At 37.5% G+C, this 22,072-nt stretch overlaps 1 protein-coding gene and 1 long non-coding RNA gene across 5 annotated transcripts in view; one reads left to right on the top strand and one right to left on the bottom strand.

The window, feature by feature from the left end:
• STMN2 (stathmin 2) overlaps positions 1-22,072 on the bottom strand; it is a 55,042-nt gene that overhangs the window by 23,084 nt on the left and 9,886 nt on the right. For 2 of the 3 annotated variants that reach the window (NM_001199214.2, NM_007029.4), the window contains exons 2-3: positions 6,178-6,273; positions 1,525-1,697 (exon numbers count right to left, since the gene is read on the bottom strand). In NM_001199214.2, coding sequence (NP_001186143.1) covers positions 1,525-1,697; positions 6,178-6,273 — 269 coding nt within the window. Of the gene's footprint in view, positions 1-1,524; positions 1,698-6,177; positions 6,274-11,637; positions 11,642-22,072 lie in introns of all 3 variants that reach the window. The other variant, XM_005251142.3, reaches the window with a different exon arrangement.
• On the top strand, positions 4,909-21,943 carry LOC105375916 (uncharacterized). 2 transcript variants are annotated; one of them, XR_007060974.1, is made up of 3 exons: positions 4,909-4,994; positions 7,909-8,002; positions 21,871-21,943. It is a non-coding gene; the product is annotated as an uncharacterized LOC105375916 (long non-coding RNA). The 2 variants fall into 2 exon arrangements; XR_001745974.2 differs by lacking the exon at positions 21,871-21,943 and adding an exon at positions 9,750-9,815.

The following is a 22,072-nucleotide window of genomic DNA, read 5'->3' as shown; positions in this document are numbered from 1 at the left end:
ATATATACAATATTAATATATAATTATGGTATACATATACATATATACACATCACATATACACCAGTTACCATTGTTATATTTATATCTATAATTGGTATATGTAATATATAGAGATAGCTATATATATCTATAATATAGATATCTCTATATACCAATTACCATTGTAATTATATATATAAAAATTCATATATATATATATGACATGCTCATCGGACATTTGGAGAACATCACTCTTAGGTGAAAATTGAGATCAGCATATTACATATCATAGGAGGATTTTTTTTCAACTACAAAGATTAGTGTTTTCTTGTTTAGAAAATTTAATCTAAGGATTTCTAATGTTTGAGCCTCATTATTTGATAATACACATATTTGTGTACATATATGCATGTATATATGCACATATACTATACACAGCACATCTGTGTTTGTCCTGCATTCTCTCTTGGAGAATTCAATCTTTAGGAGGAGGATTATCTTCATTCTGTTTTTAATTATCCAACATAGAAGTGTCCAAAGTTTTGGCTGACTTTTTAGAGAAAACATCATAAAACTGTGCAGGGAACATGTTCTTAGTGATTACCTGATTCTAAAATTATATCATAAAAAATATTGGGAAATACAATGTGGGGATGAATTACATAAAAGAATTCCATTTTTGGATGATCGTGAGTACCTTGATGGGATTAACTACCATAACCACATGGTTGGAACAGACACATTCAAACAACTTCTGTTTGTGTACACAGTCCCTAGGATTTCTAAGTGTTCTCAAATAATACCCTTGGCTCTTCTTAGCCATGTGATTATGGAAAAGTAAAGATTTGGCAAAAGGAAAGCTCTTTAATATAAGCAGGGACCAATGGCAAAAAGAGAAAAATCCCCATCAAGTCTTAGAAAAAGATAAAGAACATATTCAAAGAACTCAGAGAAGGTCCTGATCTTGGAAGGACCAACTTCCAGGGCAGGCAGTGGGACTCTGAAGAGGAAAGGGGCAAGCTCTTGGCCCTTACCCTGGGCAGGAAAGATCTTGGAGGGAAGATCTGGTAATTTGTAATTCCAAGGAAAACCACGCCTGACAAAGGGGGTGACACAGATCCTGAGAGGGAGGAAGCAGCACTTCTTCCCCTCCCCACCACTGGAGTTCGCCAGGGCTGTGTTTTCTCTACAGTGCTTCTGCCTGATGGTCTAGGGAAGGGAGGCTTTTATAATAAGGGGATTCAATATACGGGAAGGGGCACTAGAGCACTGAAGCTCTTTGGATTTCTGAGAGCTCTGGTTTGGCTAGCCTAAAATTAGCATCTATCTTACAGTTTTTACCCCAACTAGCCTGGCTCTGTGTCTACTGAAAACCTATACATGTTGGCATGGCACAGGTTCAGCTGTCATTGCTCTCTGTATGTGTGTGTGTGTGTGTGTGTGTGTGTGTGTGTGTGTGTGTGTGCGTGCATGTGTGCCCGAGTGTGTGAGAGGGAGGAGCAGGGGAGGGAGAGAGAGAAGGAAAACCTATGGAAAAAGTTACCTTTCTTCTTTCCTCTGCAGCCTCCAGTTTCTTCTGGATCTCCTCCAGGGACAGGTCTTTCTTCTTTGGAGAAGCTAAAGTTCGTGGGGCTTCTGAGATAGGAGATGGTGGCTTCAAGATCAGCTCAAAAGCCTGGCCAGAGGCACGTTTGTTGATTTGCTTCACTTCCATATCTGAAAAGTGAACATTTGAGAATGTTAAGCATACAAAGCTTGCAGCATGGGTTTATTTTAATAATTTAGATTCCAGCAATTGGAAGTAGCGTTGTTATTCCGGGAGATAGGAATAAAATGCTGTTTATGAGCATTTGCTCTATGTTGTTTAGAACATATAAGACCTCTCTGTCTTTAGTGTAACTATGGATATATTTTAACAGAATAAATATTTACCATATTGAGAAATTTGACAATATCTGCAGGGAGTTGAATAACGGTAAGCATACTTAGATAAAAATAGCCTAAATTGATTTTAAATTAAGCTTTATTTTCCTTTTGAACAAATATGAGCTTTGCATGAAAATCAAGTAGCACAGATTTATTTGTTTGGAAATTATCGTAGCTGTAGGCCCTTTTTGGTTAGACGAGAAACATAACGGAGTTCTTCAGTTCTCACATATAATGAGATATCATTATCTAGATATGCGTATATATGCATGCACCATTATATATATTATCACCATTCCTGTGCTTAGGAATCACAGGAGCTTCGTTAGAACCAATGTAACTCCCTGAACAGTTGGGCATATTTGGCAAAGTCAATGCTGAAATGCAAAGCATCCTGCTGATTTCTGTTTTGCCCTTCTGTATGTTCATTGCTTCCAGTCATCAATCATGCACAGTGCCCACTCCAGGGATGACAACATCACTCTGTGATGGGGGTCCTTGTCTTCAAGATGCTTACAGTCTAATGGGGGCAATAAGACAACACCCCATTGTAATGTCTTTGCTCCTGTGTTGTTGCTGTTTAGAATATCCTCCTCTAGTGTACTCGGCTGGAGCCAGGAGCCAGGGATAGAGCCACTGTGGTGGAGGAGGGAGTGGCAACATCTACTAATCTAATTTATACACATACACATGGAATACTGTTCAGCCTTAAAAAAGTTGGGGGAAATCCTGTCATTTTTGACAACATGGGTGAACCTGGAGGACACTATGCTAAGTGAAATAAGCTAGGCACAGAAAGACAAATACCACATGATCTCACTTACATGTGGACTATTCATAAAGTTGAACTCACGGAAGCAGAGTAGAATTGTGGTTACCAGGGGTTAGGGGTGGAGACTGGGGAGATGTTGATCAAAGAATACATAATTTCAGTTAAACAGGAAGAACAAATGCAAGAGACTTATTATTGAGACGGAGTTTCCCTCTTTTGCCAGGCTGGAGTGCAGTGGCACTATCTCGACTCACTGCAACCTCCGCCTCCCAGGTTCAAGCAATTCTCCTGCCTCAGCCTCCTGAGTAGCTGGGACTACAGGCGCTTACCACCACACTCAGCTAATTTTTCTATTTTTAGTAGAGGCAAGGTTTCAGCATGTTGGTCAGGCTGGTCTCGAACTCCTGACCTCGTGATCTGCCAGCCTTGGCCTCCCAAAGTGCTGGGATTATAGGCGTGAGCCACCACGCCCGGCCGCAGAAGACTTATTGTACACCATGCTGACTATTGTTAATAACAATGTACTGTATTCTTGAAAATCACTGAAAGAGTAGATTTTTTGTTCTCATCACAAATAAATGACAGGTGTGTGAGGTAATGCATATGTGAATTTGCTTCACTTAGCCATTCTCTAATGTATACATATTTCAAAATATGCCATACACCGCAAACATATACAATTTTTGTCAATTAAAAAAAGAACTGAAGAATGGTTAGCCACTTATTTTCTATCAGTGGCTTATGTATTAAAGATAAGCAGATTATCAGACCCTTATGTTTTAAGCCTGTATAATACAAATTATAACATAAAATAGTATAATTTATAATAGAAAAGATGACAGCTAGCACCTGCTAGGACATTTATAATTACAGAACTCACAATTTAGTAAAATGCAATGATTTTTAAAAGAACCTCGCTGGTCAGCCCTCAATTTCAGATGAGCATTCTTTGAGTCCCAAACTCCATCTCTCTGGTTTTAGCCCACTGATCCTTGTTTGAAGTCTGAAGCTACCCATGATTAGGCCATTCTCTGTGGTGCACCACCATTTTTCAAGTATTTGAAAACAGTTATGTTCCATTTCAAGTTGTTCCCCCAGGCTAAACATCTTCAAGTGCCCCAGAATGACACTGTTTCTAGATCTTTACCACCATATTATTTCCTAACCTCTAAGTGCTCTCTAATTTATTAACGTCTTTTTAAAATTGTGGCAACCAAGCCAGCAGGTTATGTTCCCGTTAATGTTCTTTTAGCAGCCTGGTTAGTGCACATGGAGGTTGTGGTCAAGTAAAATGCCAGGCTGGCAGGCCTTGACCTCAGATCCTTAGCTGCTAATAGATAGTCTAGATAATACTAACTCAATAACTATATTGGAAATGATGTGGGCTTTTTCCTTCACAAATGTAAAAATGTTTTTCATTTTCCTGATGGCATCCAAGATTATACTTAAATTTTAAATACAATTTTATAAAAATTATGGAAACCTATGGATAAGGATTATAAGAGAACACGGGCAAATAAAAACAGCTTATTTGATAAGGTGATGGGGTTTTAAATGCCTTAGATTAGAGGCTCTGGAATTAGAACTGCCTATATTTGCATCCAAATAGTAAGCCCCTCTTAATAGCTGTGTGACACTAGGTAAGTTAATTAACTTCTTTATGCTTTTATTTCCTCATTTAAAAGATGGAAATAAAAAGAGTACCTTCCTTCTAAGGTGGTTGTGAAGATTAAATGATAAAGGATGCTGAATGCAAAGCACAAGCCATATACTTAGTGCTTACAAATGTAAACAATAATAATAATTTATTGTTATAATGTTTGCCTGCAATAAACAAGTCACGTTATTATCTAACATAGAAATACCAGGTCAAGTTAAAGACTGCAGAAATTTGAAATTCTCTACGGACTCTTTTAGGAAGCACAGTTTACGAGAAATGTTGAATTATCTATTCAACTTTAAATACAGCTCAATAAAAATTATGGAAGCCTATGGAAAAGGATTATAAGAGAACGCAGGCAAATAAAAACAGCTTATTTCAAGAATCAGCTCACACATAACTTCACATATTTTCTTCCCCTTTTTTCATTCCCTAACCCAGCAAAAACCATCCCTGGCTCCTTTGTCCTAACCACTCTGTGTTCTACATTCTAGTCATTTGTGTAAGACTCTTCTACTAAGCCCTGAATTCTTTGAAGGTGAGGACTACGCCCTATGGAACTCTGGATCCTCAGTGACAACCCATAGTTCGACATTAGTCTCATAAGAAACATAGCTGGATCCTTCTTCACAGCTACATCTAGCAAATAATAAAGGTCTGTCTAATTTATTTGCTGACCGAATGAATTTGTACAAAGTAGGCATTGGCCCTGCATTCTAATGAATGTTTTGTTTGGAGACAGAATTCCTTTCACATGGAGGACATTTCCTTATGGAACAGTTAATTAGCATTTATGATTTTTGTGCTACGATAGAATAACTTTGGAAGGTAAATGCCTTTGAGTCCTTGAATAGGCTTTAAAGGTGCAGAAGGGGTTAACTGCCACAAGGTCAGTTTGTTTTGTCATTAATGTCTTTCTTTACATATATGGAAAAGAAAAATATTTGTGAGCCTGAGAGTTAGTAAAATATGCCTTAGGGATATCTAGGATACATAGAACTGTATAAAATATTTTAGTTAAATTGACTGAATTAGGTAAGGATGATGTTGATAATGATAGCTATCATTGTAGAGTGATATAATGAGCTAGGCTTGGTTTTGCATATTTGACTTACATTAAACCGTTTAAACCTCACAACAACTCCAAGAGGAAGATGCTAGAGTTAAATGAGACTTAGAGAATCCAAGTATCTATTTGACCAAGATCATGTGGATTGTGGCAGAGCCAAAGTAAGCAAAATGAATCAGGATAAATCAAACCTAAAGAGTTGCACCTCAATCATGTTAATTGCCATGCTAATTCTTTAGGCTTTTCTTTTCAGACCCTCTTTATCTAGGGCCTCAGTCGTAAGTCAGTTTTATTTATTGAGCCAATTATTATTATCATTAGCTGGTTGACATGTATATACAAAGTATAGAAACTTTATAAAGACTACAATAAAGCAAAAACAATTATGGTTGTTGATTCTTTCTCTTGAGTTTTCTAAGTATAAAGCATTTTCTTACAAATTATGATCTACTCCAATTATGGCTTAGCCTATTAAATTATTTGCAAAGAAAGACCTTAGACATATTGTGGATGTTGATATGCTGGATGTGGCTGTTAATAAGAATCCATCCACATTTCTTAACAGACATTGATGTGTTGTTATTAGCACCAAATTCAAACTGTTTTCAGCAATAGGTAATCAATTGGACATAATAGCTAGACACGGCAAGTCAATAGTGAGAGCTACAAAATATTGATGTAATTATATCAGGAGCTGTAAGAAACAAATATATGTCAACCTTTCCAAATGATCTAGCTAGCAGGGGTATGTCTATCCTAGGTTACTCACCATCGTAAGTATAGATGTTGATGTTGCGAGGTTCCGGGTAAAAGCAAGAGCAGATCAGTGACAGCATGGACAGCTCCTTCATTTTTTCCTTGTAGGCTGAAATGAAAAGCTGAAGATTAGTATATTTCATTTTTTCTGAATTTCTCTTTACTGCTTCCTTTAATTTGAATAATAATTATTGCCTCCTGCAGAGTGAATATTGCCAGGTAGACTCCTTTGCATTCTTTCACTAAATATAAAGGAATGCAAGATGTCAACAGAATTCTGAAGTGCATGTTCCTTAGTGCAGAGGAGATCAATTGCATAGTATAGCAGGTTAAATAACAAGAGAAAGAAAGGGAGTTAGAAAAACAAAGGAAGGTCGAAGGAATTAAGATCTAGCAGGATAGGAGGGAGAGAGAGGAAACAGATGGAATTAGTGGAAGCAGACATGATTACCAGAGAGAGAGGCTCATTCTAGTAAATGTGCATGCAGGTCTATTGTACATAAGTAAGATTCCGGAGGGCTACTCTGATGGTTCAGCCTGAATTGCCACGTACTCATTTGGGAATAGTCAGATAACTCATCAGGATAGTTATTAAGCAAACACATTATCCAGGGTCCTATGTTGCTGCTTTCTCTTAATCTCCAAGTGCATTTTCTTATCTGTCCATCTTTTCTTTTTTCTTTCCTCTCTCTCTTTGAGACAGAGTTGCTCTGTTACCCAGGCTGTAGTGCAGTGGTGTGATCCCAGCTCACTGCAACCTCCACCTCCTGGGCTCAAGTGATGTTCCCCCCTCAGCCTCCCCATTAGCTGGGACTACAGGTGCGCTCCACCATGCCTGGATAATTTTTGTATTTTTTGTACAGACAGAGTTTCACCAGGTTTCTCAGGCTGGTCTTGAATTCCCGGGCTCAAGCAATCCACCCACCTTGGCCACCCAAAGTGCTGGGATTACAGGTGTGAGCCTCTATTTCCAGCCTCTTTCTTTCTTTCTTTTTTTTTTAATTTCAAGTTTTATTTTAGATACAAGGGGTATATGTGCAGTCTTTTTACATGGGAATATTAAATGATGCTGATGTTTGGGGTGTAAATCCCATCACCCAGGTATTGAGCATAGCACCTGATAGGTAGTTTTACAAACCTCTCTCCTTCCCCCCTCTAGTAGTCCACAGTGTTTATTGTTCTCATATTTATGTCCATGTGTGCTCAGTGTTTAGCTCCCACTTATAAGTGAGAACATGCTGTATTTGGTTTTCTGTTCCTGTGTTAATTCACTTAGGATTATGGGTCCCAACTGCATCCATGTTGCAGCAAAGGACATGATTTCATTTTTTCTTATGGCCATGTTGTATTGCATGCTTTATATTTACCCCATTTTCTTTATCCAATCTGCCATAGATGGACACCTAGTTTGATTCCATGTCTTAGCTATTGTGAATAGTGCTGCCATGAACATACAAGCACATGTGTCTTTTTAATAGAATGATTTATTCTCCTTTGGGTATACACCAAGTAATGGGATTGCAAGGTCAAATGGCAGCTCTGTTTTAAGTTCTTTGTCTCTCCCTCTTTCTACACACACCAAAGCCCTCGATCTGAGCTCTGATTACATCTGATAAGGATCTCCTTCCCTCCGTTGCAACCCAGCTTGTGTGCCAACCTTGCCATGCAGTTGCAAGAGTCCAGATTGTCACCTCCTCAATCCTTCACTCCCCTTCCCCATTTCATTTTCTCATTTTTTCTCTAGGAAGCCTCCTGCCCTGGTAAACTTGGTGAGTATCTCATCACTGTCAGTTGTCATCAGGCCAAGTATCTGCAAACTACCAGATGGGGATAAGGAGGTAAAATCTTCTTACTTTTGTTAATTATGCAATTAGTAAAATTAATAAATTAAGGAAAATGGTAGAAAATGATGGGTATACTGTGCACTAACTTGTGAGAAAGTATAAACAGATGGCTGTGAAATAAAATATAGACCTCCCAGGTTAACAGTTTCTTCTTGGCAGGGGCTTCTGATCATTACTATAATATAACCCAAGGGAGAGTGGGTATCTTGGGAAAGAGGATTCTCAGAAGATGAGTTTGGGCATTATTGACAGGTGCATCTTTTCTTGGCCAGAAAGAAACATATTCAACCCCTGGATGCTTTAGATCCACAGATACTAGAATTATTCTAAGAGATTATTTAGTCAACTGTCCACCTACCTCACCACCAATTTTACAAATGAGGATATAGCCCCACAGAGGCCAAAGTCACATGTAGCCAGTGACAACGGTGAAGCTTCTGGATAAATTGCAGTAAATCAATCTATTTAAAAACTGCCAGAAGGCTTTCTTCTAGCTCTACAATTTTAGGATGAGGTTCAATGTGTTAACAGGTGCAATGATCAAATATCATTTGCCTATGATTCAACCTAACACATCCTGAGGATCTGCTAAAAGAATCCCCTCACTATTTAGCTTATTTTCTTAAAATAAGCAATACATGTTGTCCTGTGCCATAAAAGTCCTGGAACATCCATTCTGAGATATTTTGTTGAACGCCTTTGGAATTTTAGAAGGCTAAACCAAATTTCTTTGTATCATTTGTTTATTCAGTTAATGAAATTGTGTCACTTATAAAGGCCCAGGCAGATCCAGATTTATATGGAGTTAAGTGAGAATCATAATTTCTGCCAGAGCATAAAACATTTAATACATTTAATTCCATGAACTAATTGAAAACAGTAACAGCAAGGTTTTGTAGGCTGGTACCTTTTTTGGAAGAGAAATGCATTCTGGTATGCAAAACATTTTGCAAAATTAAGCACATATTAGAAACACATGAAGCATATTACATGCCGACTTTATTAAGAAGGGTCAATCCAAACATAAAAATAAAATAAAAGATTTTCCATCTCACAAAGTAGTAACAGATGAAAGCTGTATCGGAACGTGAATTTTTAGTGAAGAAAAAACTCCTCAATATCTGTCCTTAGGAAACTAAATTCAATAATTTTCAGTAAGGCCACTGCCCTAATTATGCTTGACAAGCTAATAAAGAGAAGTGAGTGTAAAAACTATCAGAAGCTAGCACATTTAGAGCCCTATGTATAATGAGTAATCATTACTATTATGGACTGAATATTTGTGTCCCCGCAAAATTTGTATTTGAAATCTAATTCCCAATGTGATAGTATTTGGAGGTGGGGTCTTTGGAGAGTAATTAGATGATGAAGGTGAAGCCTTCATGAATGGGATTAGTGTCCTTATAAGAAGAGACCAGAGAGCTAGCTCAATCTCCTTTTGCCACATGAAAATGCAGCTAGAAGTTGGCAGTCTGCAAAAGCAAAGTAGGCCCTAACTAGAATCTGATCATTCTGGCGGCCTGATCTCAGACTTCCAGTTTCCAAAGCTGTGAAAAATAAATTTCTGTTGTTTATAAGCCACCTAGTCTATGGTACTTTGTTTTATCAGCTAAAACTAAGAAAATGACTGATAAAAATGTTCTTTCTTGTTCGAGGTGGTCTGGGGACAAAACCCAGTTAACCTCTGTGGGTGGTGATTCCTTTAATAGCATTTTTATCTTTACTGTTATTTGTTTCAAAGGCTATGACCCCACATAGCATGACTCTACCCAGTGACAACCATTGCAGAGATTCTCATTGATGAGTTGCTTGCATTCTAAGGAGATCCTTAAAAGCCAGCTGCAACCACAGTCCAAGCAAATCCTAATTCCTTCCCTGCAGCAAAGGCACACTCTCCTGTGAAGAAGGGTTTCCTCCTAACGTGGTACAGTTGCCCAAACTCCCCAGATGGCGTTGCTGGAAAGGTATGTCATCGGGAAACAAACTTAAGACACAAATGAATAAAGCACAGCAGATTATGTACCCGGCTAAGGGAAATAGTGCAAAGAGAAAAAAAAGGGAAGAGACTTAATGAAAGAAGAACTGATAGGAAACAGTAACTGAATTCGGAGCCACTGAACACTTTGAAAGATGGGATTAACTCATGAAAGACTTCTTAGAAAGATTTTTTCCGGCTTGTGTGGGAACAATCATTAATATGAATTTTAACACTTATCATTTTGTTGTTATTTAATTTGGAATTGATAGTGCAGTATCATAAAAATTTCTTCTGTTTATTCATCCTAGGCAAAATTGTATTTGACACTTTAGTTTTGGCTAATGCTGTGTGTAAAAGAAGTAGTGATATGTATTAGTCTTCCTGATCACATATAAAAGATAGTAAAGAATGCTCTGGAAATGTCATTAATATACTACTTTGGGAGAAAATGTGTCATAATCCCTGAAAGGAATACTTGTTTGTGTCCCGACACACTGGTGTTCTTAATGACCATAAAGAAAACGTCATTCGCGGGACCAGATGTCTGACCATGGCCTTGTGCTCAGGACGGCTCTGCTGACGAGGCCCAGGATCTGTTAGCACACTCCCTCTCCACTTTTCCTTTCTCTTGTTTTCCCTGCAATCATATTAGTCTAGCGGGAGGTTTTCCTGGCAAGTCCCAAATACTCAATTTAAATGCAACCTCATTTTTTTCCTTTTGAAATGTGCCTGGGGATAAAGGATAAAATCAGATGCTATAGAATGCAGGATTGATGTCTCTTGCCCTTGGTTTTACAGCAATTCGATTTGCACAGTTTCTGATAGACAGAAAGGACAAAAGCACTTTATTTGAAGCTTACCAATTTATATATACGTGGCAGAAAGCACCTCTTTCCTTAAGAAAAAAACCCCTGTCATTTCCAGGCAGTGGTGTCTTTAAACTGGGTAGAGTGGGGCACTAGCTATGGACCCTGCAGTCCTCAGAGCTGGTGCCAGGATTTAAAAGGACAGCAGTTAATGGGAGAAATAGGGTTCTCTGCTAATGGATTCTAAAAAACTTGAGTCTTGCACCCGCAATTGTTAAACACTGCTCCTCTCCTAATTCTGTCCTTCCTTTTCCCTTTCTCCCATTACCTAAGTCTTAACATAGACAGAAATCAGCTACCTTGAAGTTCATTTTTGGTTCCTTTTCTTTTCATAAGGAAATAACATTTCCTTTTTAATTTCAGAAATTAAGCCCCTGGTGATAATTTTAACTCAATTCTGATGATACTGTGTGTTTGGAACTTTGCTTACTTTGGGGCACTATAACTCAAGGTCAGATAATTTTTTTTAAAAGTCAGATATGTAATCCCATTTAAAAATCCTTTTGGGAGGTCCATCCCTGTGATCTTCTTCAAAGACAAAATAGACCAAAATAATTTCATTTTGAACACTTCTTACATACTATATCGGTTCAAATTTGGAGCATAAAATATTTTGGTTGATGAGTATGTAATTAATGATGTAACTTTAAAAAGAAAAAGAAATAACTCAGATTTTAAAATACCCTTTTTAACATATCAGAAGATCACTGACATGAGGTAATATTCTAGATATTTCTGCTGTGATGATGTAATGCTAATTGCTTTAGAATAAAATTAGATTCTACCCATCTCTCTCTACAAAAATTTGGTTTTCTAAGCCAGGGAGGTTTTGAAAGATTAATATTTTGACCAACCAAAGCATTATAGTTTTTCTATGGGAATGGATATCAAATGAAATAAAGGGACATTTAAGAAGGTCAAAGCAGTACAACCCATCACTGGGTTATACAGAAACATATGAGGCTCTTAAATTTCAATTTGATGTATTCTTAGCACCAGTGATAGTGACAAGGAAAAGAAACTAGATGACATGAATCAGTCCTTGTGATCAAAATTGTAATAAAAGCAGTAAATTGTTGTAACCTGGTACCTCACCTTACTCTGGATTCCAGTTAAAGCTCCTGCTGTGTTTAATGAGAGTTCCGCTACATCTTGCAGGCTCTTGTCCTTTTTTTCTTTCCCCTGATGAAAGAAATTCTTACAGTCCTTGATAGAGACCAAATGACACTGTGGTTTAGAGGAGTAATGAAAGCGCTTTATTCTGTTTATGTGTCAAGATTTTTATCACCAAGTCTAATTCTGAGTATTGAGGGATTTTTTTATCCCCCTAAGCTCCTAAATACTAGCAGGTAGTAAAACCTAAAATGATAGCTAGATTGGTTGGGACTTAAATGAGACAAAGCCAGGGTAAAAAATGGAGAGTCTATTCATCTGGTTAAGGACAGTTCTCATGTAAGAATGACTTTGCTCTTCCTTTCCTGCAATCTTCTAAGCTGGGATGCTCCTGAGCAGCAATTTGAGGCTGCCATGACATTCTCTGAATTGCTTCTCCAGAATGGCTCAATGTAGCACCCAAGTGATTTCAATTCCTCCCTATTACTTTTTAATTCTTGGCTGAAGAGTAGAAAGTATTTTGGATCCATTTTTAATTAGCAAAACTCACTTCCTATGCAGAATGTTTATCGCATTTGTGGGGCCAATGTCCAGAGTCACAAATGTTTTGGTCACCAGTGATAAGGATGCCAGCTTCATTGTTCACTTTGTTGTAATGTGTGGCTTTTCTCCAGAAAATAAACGTTGACTTCTATCTCACATGTGTTTTTGAATTTAGCCTGACTATGACTTTGTATGTAAGATTGCATAAGGGTGGATAGCCTATTATGCTCTCAGTGAAAGCAGAAACTTTCAGAAATAAAAAGTGCGAGACTTTTATCACACTGCAAAATAAAAAAAAAATTCAGATGACTTTATTTTAGTTCATGGGCCAGTTGACTTTTCTGTTTGAATTAACCAGAAGTTTGGAGACTGAGAATACAGATTTAATGAACTCAAAGGGAGTCCTAGAGCTATCACCGTGGGATGGGGTTGATTGTCTTTAGATAATGGAATATCTAATTCATATAGAACACTGGGAAGACACAGAGTCAGATTAAGCAGCAGCAATTTGTACCACAAACCTATTAGTTATATCATGATTTAATTCCTCTATCAATCTAAGGAATTAAAAGTTCAGAGCATATTTCTTGAAGAGTTTGCATAAAAACCTCTACTTCCGTAGGCTGGTATGAAGTTTCAATGGATTTGAAGAGCTCCATATTGCTGTTTTAGATCTGAGTATGTCTTATAAAATTCACTTTATCTATAATAGTTATTAACGTCGACTGTGAAACAAATATTTTAACTTGGTGTTACTGCCAAGTAATATTTATCGATGTTTCACCAAAAAGAATTCTTATCTGGGTAGTGTACAAATTGTACTTAAGGCAGTCTCCCTAAATGTTGTCTTAGGAAATGAATGATATCTAAATAATTAATGGGAGATGACTATTTCAGGCAAAGGCCACAAAAACTGCATGTAGGAGCCAAAATTTTGCTTCCCTCCATAATCCTAAAAAGAATATCCAGTGTCCTTCAACGAAATTTTGTAAAATGCGCAGTGTGCAACATTTTCTCAACAGTTTTCTAAAGTTGCATTTTTCAAACCCCACTCATTAGAGTTTTATTTTAGCCATTCATTCACAACACTGTGCATTGTTTTGCACAGTGTGAAGCATTAGTTTGGCTTATGTAAATGGTGCAGTGAACAAAAACTGAACAGTTAGTTAAGAGTTTCCTCCTGAATGACAAGCCCCATGACTTTGCTAGTCATACTTAAGTAATATGTCTTATGGTCACTTTGTGTCAAAGAGAATAGAATAAATATATTCTATTTTATACTTGTAAAATATAAAATATACTGTATATAAATAGAAAATAATACCGTTGAGGTTTATAACTGCCTGATGTTGCAGTGATTTTATTTTGGAGTATCTCTGGCAGTATGTGGGAATAACAGAGCCTGTGAGGTGAGTGTGAAGCATCGTCCTATTGTTCTACAGTGTAATTATCCTCAGCATCCATCTTAGAGGCAGCTAAATAGGGTGAAAGAAATCTTTTGGGTTAACCTAGATATGACATTGAAAATTGCTTTTTTGTTTTGAAACTCAAATGTCACTTCCTCAAACTTTGCATGTAGACTCATCTCCTGACATAGATTTTATCACATCATAGCCTGAACTTCAATTAGTATAATTTTCTGCAAACAACCTAAAGCAATATACAAGTAAGTAAGTAATCCTCCTAAAGCCTTTGCATTCCAGTTTTGTATCATCCAGTTTATGTCACAAACAGGGTCAAAATATAAAAGACAACTTACTCTAGGATAAATTTTCCATTTTTTCTATTTTTTTCCCGGATATTTTGAAATGAAAGCTCCTCTGAGAAGTGATTATTTTCTCCTGTATACACAGTTCTCAAAGGAAGGCATATTAATGTCCAGCAGTTATATGAAAAAAGGCACAAGATCACTAATCATCAGGGAAATGCAAATCAAAACCACAATGAGATATTATCTCACACGTGTTGAAATGTCTGTTCTCAAAAAGACAGGAGACTGGTTAGCCAGAATGTGGAGAAAAGCAATCCTTGTGCACTGCTGGTGGAATGTAAATTCCTAGAGCCATTATGGAAAGCAGTATGGAGGCTCCTCAAAAAATTAAAAACAGAACTACTAGGCCAGGCGTGGTGGCTCACACCTGTAATCGCAGCACTTTGGGAGTCTGAGGTGGACGGATCACTTGAAGACAGGAGTTCGAGACATGGTGAAACCCCGTCTCTACTAAACATACAAAAATTAGCCGGGCATGGTGGTGCGTGCCTGTAATCCCAGCTACTCAGGAGGCTGAGGCAGGAAAATTGCTTGAACCCAGGAGGCAGAGATTGCAGTGAGCCTAGATGGCACCACTGTACTCCAGCCTGGGCGACATAGCAAGGCTCTGTCTCAAAATAAAAAAAATAAAAAATAAAAAAAAATAAAACTACTAGATGATCCAGCAGTCCCACTACTGGGTATATATCCCATCAAAGTGGAATCAGTATGTCAAAAAGATATCTGCACTCCTATGTTCACTGCATCATTATTCACAAGACCCAAGATATGGAATCAATATGAGTATCCATCAACAAATGAATTAATAAAGAAAATGTGCTACATACACACAATGGAATACTATTCAGCCTTAAGAAGGAAATTCTGTCATTTGTGACAACATGGATAAGCCTGAAGGACATTATGTCAAGTGAAATAAGACAGGAACAGAAAGACAAATACTGCATGATCTCACTAAAAAAGAACTCATAGAAGCAGAGAGTAGAAGGGTGGTTTCCAGGGGCTAGGGTGGAGGTGGGAGAATGGAGAGATATTGGTAAAGGATACAAAGTCTTAGATAGAATGAATAATTTCTTTGTATTTCATAATAAGTATATATATGATAGGCATAAAATATTACCTATGATGTGACAAATGCTTCATAAAGAAATTAATGTCTTGAATTTCAAATTGTTTAACTATCAGGGCAATTTCTACTCTTCCACATGCTACATGCAAGGTCTATTTTTGGCTTCAAATATTCTTTTTCTACTGTTAGAATAAGTGATGCATAAACTGTAAGCTTTTTGGATGCCATCTGGAACTCCCTTTGAATTCTTGATACTCATTCTTAAGACATGAGAAGGACTACATGTTGCTATGACTGGCTGAGCCAGATTGGAATAACCTGTGCATTTTATCTGTCACAGAAAATACCATATGACTTGGTCATAAACATACCCAATAAAAAAATTAAGGCAAAAATAGAATCAAGTGTTTGATCTGCATAGATAAATATGACTTGGAATTTGGCATGATAAATTGCTGATAAACCAAACTCACAACTTGGGAATACATTATAAATGAAGGCACACGTTGGCTCCCCTTTATGTCCTATTTTCTCTTGTTTATTCAGCCTAAATATTACTTATAAAAAAAGGGGGATTCATGGTTTTAAACATTGCTCATATCTTCAAAAATTTTACAAAATATTAATAGGAAGGGCCAAACAGAGGATATATACATTAGAATGTGGTGACAATTCCTAAATGTCTCCAGTAGTTGTGGCCTTGAGGTTCATTAAGACTGGGTTTGTGTCTTCCTAAACACAGAAGTGAAGCAAACTTAATGGTTTCCTTCACAAGGGCCTTGGAGTTTCTTTTCTTTCTTTCTTTCTTTTTGTGTTTTTCAAGGACAAGGTTATTTTCTAGGCTTGTTTCACAGACCTTAGCCCTTACTTCTCCATGGTTTCGTTTGCTGCTAATCATTTCTTTGCAACTATACTTAAGTTTCCTGAGGGCAAGGGAAGGCATCTCCTTTAACATTTTTTGTATTTTCCCTCATACATAGGAGTGTGTGTCGCAGTTAGCAGGTGTTCCATAAATGCATATCCATTGGTTGCTAAGCAGGGAGGGGCTGTCCCTCAGCTGCAAATGGTAGCTGCTGAATCTTCCAGTGGCCCAATTAGCTTCCCCATGAAGAACAAGTGTAGGGTAGGGGTTAAGAGCCGAGATGTTGGAGCCAGATTGAGGTCAACTCTTCTCTCCACTAAATTCCTTTATATTATGCTACTGACTGGTATTTCAGTGCATTTTGAAGTGCAAGAATACTTCTTTTCCTTGGCCCTTACCACATAGCTTTAGCTACAGTGATAGTTTGAAAATGGAACTACTGGTGGTACCACTCTAATTTCTTGGCGTAGAGGCAAAATTTAAGAAAGTCTTCTCATTTCTATCCTTCAAAAGGCAAACTTCACAATAGCAGATAATCAACCTTCTCTATGTAAGGAGAAAGAGAAGGCAGGTGAATGTCTCCTTTGTATTCATTTATATGTTCTCTCCCTTATTTTAGCTCCAATACTAGTGAGTGAATGTTAGCTACCCCAGGGTAAGGGCAAGAATATGATAGAAACTGAAGATTTGAGCTCTAGGTCAGGAACTATTAACCTTAGATAATTTATTCAACCTTCTGAACATGAGTTTATTTATCCACAAAATGGGGATAGGGTGTTGTTGTAAGGATTGAGTTAGGTAATGTATTGAGAAACTGAAGTGCTGTGCAAGACATTGCTTATTAATAAGCATTAATTTCTCCAAATTGATCTTTATTTTATTGATTGATTTATTTATTTTTTTGAGTCAGAGTTTTTTGCTCTTGTTGCCCAGGCTGGAGTGCAGTGGCATGATCTCGGCTCACTGCAACCTCCACCTCCTGGGTTCAAGCGATTCTCCCTGCCTCAGCCTCCCAAGTAGCTGGGATTACAGGCGGCAACCACCACATCCAGCTAATTTTTGTATTTTTAGTAGAGACAGGGTTTCACCATGTTGTCCAGGCTGGTCTCGAACTCCTGAACTCAGGTGATCCACCCACCTCGGCCTCCCAAAGTGCTGGGATTACAGGCGTGAGCCACTGCTCCCAGCCTGATCTTTATTCTTTGGGTGACCTTTTGAAGTTTTAAGGGGCTTTGCTATAGCCAAGTGTTGTGGAGCCTTATTTCTTATAATTCTCCCTGCTTCCCTTACTTACTTTGTCATAATAATCAAATCACCAAACACAATTAGAGCTCTTACTATGTCTAAGAAGACTGTGCATACAGTGGTTAACAAAGTCAACTTGGGTCAGACTGATTTGTTTCAAATCCTGGTGCTACCATTTTTGTTGGCTGTGTGTGACTTTACCTCCTTTCCTTTCTCACCTGTAAAAATGAGGATGATAATCCTCCTATAAGATACTTGGCACAATCACAGTACTTGACTCAGTAAGTACCCAATACATGTTGGCCAATATTGCAGCAATCTGAAGAAAGGGAAAGTAAGTGAAACAAGTTTCTAGCCTAAAAGAAGTCATCAATATAGTTGGGTATAAGAGAAAAGTCTATAGTGCAAAAAATAAAAAACAGTTCAAAATGTGGAAAAAAGTCTATAGTGCAAAAAATAAAAAAATAGTTCAAAATGAGGAATCTAGAGTGCAGTGGAAAGATCATTAGATTTGAAACTCGACTCTTCCTTGGCCAGCATTTGTGATCAGGAGCAAGTCACTCAACTTTCCATGGCTTCTTTCCTGTCAAGTAGGAATAATGAGACATGTCTCAAAGTGCTGTAAAAAATCAAACAGGAAAAAGTGCGTGGGACATGTGACTTGTAGCTGGCTCAAGCAGAGCAGGTGAATGATAAATAACAAGGGATATGATAACAAATATTGCTATAAGATGGTATGTGGCTATCGTCAAATTCATTGTTAGATAGTAAACTAGTGAAAGTTCACAAGAAGGAAAGATAAAGGAAAGCTGGATTCAAGGTTGACTTGGAAAGCCTGCTATTATTTGTTTTGTGGAGAGTATGATCTTTCTGAGCAGCAAATTTGAGAAATCCTTCTTGACTTCTTAGCTGGCTATCCTCACCGTATGTATTCATAGTTCACTTCTAAAATTTATCCAAAGGGATGAAATGTATACTTTTCTGGATAGAATAATTTCATGACTCTTTGCTATTTGTAGGAGTGACATCTTCTTTTTGCAATGAGTTTAAGTGGACAGGTTTTTATTCTTTTCAGCTATGCAAGCTGGACACAAAGTCCAGTATTCTTTTCAAGTGACTTTTTTCCTTCTTTCTTTCTTTCTTTTTTTTTTTTTTTTTTTTTTTTTGAGACGGAGTCTCGCTCTGTCGCCCAGGCTGGAGTGCAGTGGTACAATCTCGGCTCACTGCAAACTCCCCCTCCCGGATTCACGCCATTCTCCTGCCTCAGCCTCCCGAGTAGCTGGGACTACAGGCACCCGCCACCACACCCGGCTAATTTTTTGTACTTTTAGTAGAGACGGGGTTTCACCGTGTTAGCCAGGATGGTCTCGATCTCCTGACCTCGTGATCCGCCCGCCTCGGCCACCCAAAGTGCTGGGATTACAGGTGTGAGCCACCACGCCCAGCCTCCTTATTTCTTGGGTAAGTTGTAATATAGCTTGCCACAATCCATAACCAATACACACTGCAACTGTGTACACTGTCTTAAAAAAATTCATTCTCAGAAAAATTTCAACAAATGGAATCTGATTCTTTCAAAGCTGCTTAGTTCAATATTTCTTCAATGTTGTTCCTGAAATTAGAAAAACTTTTCATCCTAAATACTGAATTTCATTTACCTTATTTGTTCTACCACAAAACGTTTTTTTAAAAAATCATCAACCAAGTCAGAAGACACAAAACCTTTTTTAAAAAAATCATCAACCAAGTCAGTTCAGAAGACATGCAATTCTTTTATTTCCATCTTTATGCTTTGGCTCTGCATTCCAGAACCTCATTAGAGTTTATTTTTTTTTTTAAATAAGCTGAACTCTCCTGCTTAGTGCAATATATTATGACCTTGTGAGAGTTTAAATTGTAATGGTGCTTTCATATAAAGCTCCTTGTTTGTCACTATTCCATGTTTATGAGAAAGTAGAAACACATTTTATTAGCTGTATTTTATGGCTTATAAATGTGAAAAAATATTGAGCATTTTTATATGCAGATTATCATCAACAGTATCTAATATGAAAAAGAACTGTACTATACTTGTAAATATAAGCACATATTTCTCTTAATATGTCTGCAGCTATGTCATAAATATAATTCCTAATTTATGTACCACACATTTACATGATTTGATATTTAGGAGGCAAAACAAAATGCTTAAAATGTTTTGGTATTGGTAGTTATCCTCCCTTAAACCTTTGTACTCAGTTGCTGGATGAATACTAATTTGATTTCACAAGATATCTTTGTTGCTCTAGTAATTACATTTTACTGATACCTTATAGATTTTAAAAATAGCAATAACAGATTATTGATTGGTACCTGAAACACTATTGATTGTAAAGGCGTTGCTTTCCTGAGTGGCTGAGAGAATAGTGCTAAACTCTAAGTATCCATATCCTTTTCATCACCATACTCATCTAAGGTATATTCTGTTTGTATTATTTGACTCTAGTGTCTTTGTCGTGCTTATCCACTAATGGGTGGAGAAGAGGAAGGCTAAATTGATCCAGATAAGAAAGCAACGGGAGGATCCCTGAAAGAAAAGACCTAGCTGAAGGAAGGGTGTTTAAAGTGGAAGCAGGAGAGCAGGAGGGTGCCAGGCAGGGAGAAGACTGGGAGGTGGCAATGAGATATTGTGCACAGTCAGGTGATACGGAGTGGGAGTGAAACTGATGGATTGATAAGATGTTAAGAAAGAACGAGAGGTTCTGTGTGTGTGTATGCATGCGTGCGTGTACGTGTGTGTGTGATATAATTCTTTTTCCTGCATTCAAAAGACCTCAGTGTAGATTTTTGTATTTTAATATTTCTAAAGTCATCTTTTATTTCTACTGAATGATGAAACTTCCTGGGTAAGCAAGAAGGCTCAGTTTTATTGAAGGTATATATGTATTTGAAGTAAGGTAAGATATAAAATATGATAGGGAAACATGAAATGAGAAATATATGCAAGAGAAATATACTTTTATTTTAATTATCCATCTTGCTTATTGTGCTGTGACCTAGATAAAATGCTTAACTATTAAATTCTGGCATTATGTAGAATGGATTTTTTCCTTTGAGATATACTATATTGGCTGCTGTCTCATAAATATGATACCAACTCTCCCTCTACCACAAAGAATTATTAAGCAGTAATCATTTCCTCAATTCCAAGTAATTTCTAGTAGATTTGTAATACATGTAGAAATTAACAAAGTATAAGAATTGAGATGTTCACTTTAAATTTTTATTATTTTTATTTAGTATTTTCATCATTTATCTAGGGAATCAGGGAAGGGGATTAATATTTTTGATGACCAAATGCTTAACAATCAATTGCTTACTTAACAACCATGTGATTTAGGTATTGTTTTCCCATTTCATAACTGAGAAAATTATAATATAGAAATGATTAATAAATTTAAGAATTCTCAGATAGTGAGTAGTAGTGGAGCATGGTTCAAAACCATGTCCACTGGATACCCACGCCCACCTCTAATCCATGCTCTCTCTTACCTGTAACAGGAACAGTTACTGACCTAAGGACTTTTGGGGTAACTTGTGGTACTGCTTTTTAATTTTCATAGGATTTTACATTCGTTTGAGTTCCAAGACAAGCTGATTATTTTTAATTGCACAGAACTTTACACTTCTGTTTTAACTTTTGAAGGCAGCTTTAAACTGAGCCCTAACACCTTTGGACATGGGCTGCTTTGTCTAAGCAGAGTTTGTACCATCTCAGGAAGGTGGACTCAGAGGGTAGTGTCAAGGTGGTGCCAAGAAAGGGGTAGACATGGACTAGAAGCAAAGTAAGTACTGAGTTTTATCTCTGGCTTATCAGCCCTCTCATATTTTCAGTGTCTACTTGCTGGGGACACCCCTGCTTCTAGAGATTCTCTAAGCTTGATGGTTGCCATCTTGGGCCACCACTTACCATCCTTCCCTTAAAGCAGATTGAGTTGGGGAAAAGTTGGATGTGGATTGACTGTAACAAAACGTTGAATGAGTTAATTGCTTCTTCTGAGCCAACCTTCATTTAAGAAGAAGAAGGCTCTTCTTTAGGAGGAAGAAGGGCTGGCCAGGTGGGTTCTAATCACAAGAACTGCAAAACGTCTGATGCTGTTGTCAGAGGGACTCAATTAACATTTTATTTCACTTTTCATTACATAGAAAGTATTTTTCAAAAAGCAAATGACGCAGTTTTTGATTGCGCTCCTTGTTCCCTCTTTACTCATTCTAAATGCATGCACATGGGTATTTATATCTAATGACAATTTAAAAACTCAACTTCTTGCATTTATATACTACTTGACAGACACTAATCACTTTCACGTTTTTTTCCTTGAGTCTGAAAAAGACCCTCTGATATGGACAAGGCAGTTCACATGGCTATTTTACAGATGCTGAATTAGAGGAACAAACAGGAAAATTGACCTGACCAAGGTGCGTCAGCAAGAGTAAAGACTGAAACTCAGAATCCCTTCTGGGCTCTTCCTTCCATGCAGCACCAGCAGCACTGGTGGAGAAGGGCAGAGCTGATGGGGACTTAGACTCTGACCTCTTGACGCCTTGTTGCAGAGCTCCACAGAGGACGTAACTCAC

This window comes from Homo sapiens, chromosome 8 (assembly GCF_000001405.40).
Source record: "Homo sapiens chromosome 8, GRCh38.p14 Primary Assembly".
NCBI lineage: Eukaryota > Metazoa > Chordata > Mammalia > Primates > Hominidae > Homo > Homo sapiens.
The sequence above is the reverse complement of the archived record's forward strand: the minus strand, read 5'-3'. Positions and strand labels throughout refer to the sequence as shown.